We start from the raw sequence: 2,064 nt of genomic DNA, 5'->3' as shown, positions 1-2,064 counted from the left end.
GTGGGTATCAGCTGTGCAACGAAGAGTGTTGAACAGTATGTTATTTCTTACCCTCTAGGAGAGTGGTCCCCACACTGTGGGCTGCAGACCTCTGAGGAATGTTGGACTTTTTCCAAAAGTTTCTCAAATTCACATGTGTATTAAACACATGTTTCTTTACACGTATGTACTATAGATGTTTTTGATGTATGTGGTGTCTCTTATGATTAGAATAAAAACATACATCCATTTAGAAGTGTTATAAAGTTGTCACAGAATTCACCATAATTCTTAAGTCATTATGTCACCAATGGATGAGAAAAGTAAAATCAATATCTTAAATCTGTGAGGATATTTTAATGCTAAAATTGGATGGACCTCTTGTGTACTCACTGGAGGTACATTAGTTGCATATAATGTGAACTATTAAGCATTGCCTTGGAAGATGTGCCATTAATATTTTTCCAGGAGATTTGGAGTATTTTATTCCATTTGAACACTTAGTTGGGGTTATGGCTCCATTTCCTGTCAGAGTATTTGAAATATCCCATTAGCTTACTGTTAGTAGTTGTCTTAGGAACTTCTTACTAACGGTGAATAGTAACCGCTATTTGTTGAGCATTTACTAAGCACTGTGTGTGTGTGTGTGTGTGTGTGTGTGTGTGTGAGAGAGAGAGAGAGAGAGAGAGAGAGAGAGAAAGAGAGAGACAGTCTGTGGGTTATTCCCATTTGACAGATTGGAATATTAAGGCAAAAAGATACTAAGTATTTTGTCCAATACCTCATAGCCATTGACAGAGATGGGAATAAAAATTGGCCTATGTAACATCACCAAAGCCCACGCAGTGCCTGTGGGAAAAATGAATTTCAGATTTAGCTTAATGTCACACACACACAGCCCACAAGGAAATGCCTGACAATTACGCTCCATGTTCTGAAACTGACGTGTCATCATCACCACAGAATTGCCACTTTATGCCTCAGTTTACCCAACTTCAAAGTAGAGAAACATTTCATCATTTAATTTTACTTGCTAGGATAATGTATGAATTAGTTAATGCTTATAAAGAAGTGATTTGATGAGGGGAAAGCTCTATCTAAATGCTAAGTATTATTTATTATTCATGTAAGCATATTACTGTACCCTTCAATCACCTTTTTTGGATGTTTCAAATGGGCAATTACTGTCTCTTTGTGTAAAGCTTTAAAAATTTTTAATTTAAATTAAAAGTTAATCTAATTTAGGAAAACTCTGCCAGCTGGAATGGAACACAGACTTTTTTTTCCCCCTTTTCCAAACAAAACAGCAATTCAGAATAGACTCTCTTTTAATATAGTAATGTGGATAGGCTTTCCTGGGCTAGCGGTATTAGGAATGAGGGCTAATTAGTAATGGCTGTTTTGTAATGCTGGTAATCTATGTGTTAGGATTAGTGCTGATAATATATCTGATTAGGTGGAATTAACTGATATTTAGAAGGATGGAGATTCTTTTGTTTATGAAATCTCCATTTTGGGGTTACGATGTGTAGCTGGAGTGGCTGAGTCCTTGAAATCAAGTTAACATGGCTTTCCCATAACACAGTGCCCATATATGAGTAGAGCCAGGAAGCAATGAGGGTCATTTGAGCTCAAGAAGACCTTTACATCTTAAGGCCTCAGTAAGGAGCCCTACAAATAGTGAAAATCAGAGTTCAAAGGTCAGAAATGTCAAGTATGCTTTAAAAGGAGAAGACATATTTACCTGAGCTCTTCAGTTAACATCCAGCAGTCCTTGATGGGAAAATTCTTTCTATGTAGCACTTTCTGTCACATGCCTGTTGACTCAAAAGTAACTGGTTTTCGTTTTAAAATAGAAAATGAAAAATGTATCATTGAAAGAAATCACTGTTTTAATTCCTCTCCCCTACAAATTTGCATGTTCAACCTTCCTTTTAAAGTAACCATTTTTAAATGTTCCCTAGCACTTAAATTTTAAGGAAATATGCTTAGAAATCACATTATTCAGTTGCACAGTTTCAGTTGCCCAGCAGTATCATTAAATCCTCTGGAGTGATTCCAGTCCCACAAAAATTAGGGACCCCT

General features: G+C 36.3%; 1 protein-coding gene and 1 long non-coding RNA gene across 4 annotated transcripts in view; both read left to right on the top strand.

The window, feature by feature from the left end:
* Window positions 1-2,064, top strand: part of FIGN (fidgetin, microtubule severing factor) — a 133,398-nt gene that overhangs the window by 30,706 nt on the left and 100,628 nt on the right. The gene's annotated exons all lie outside the window — the stretch shown is intronic.
* LOC107985957 (uncharacterized) overlaps window positions 1-2,064 on the top strand; it is a 65,994-nt gene that overhangs the window by 28,639 nt on the left and 35,291 nt on the right. The gene's annotated exons all lie outside the window — the stretch shown is intronic.

The sequence above is a fragment of the Homo sapiens genome, chromosome 2 (assembly GCF_000001405.40).
Source record: "Homo sapiens chromosome 2, GRCh38.p14 Primary Assembly".
NCBI lineage: Eukaryota > Metazoa > Chordata > Mammalia > Primates > Hominidae > Homo > Homo sapiens.
Note: the sequence above shows the minus strand (reverse complement) of the source record. Positions and strands in the feature narration are given on the sequence as shown.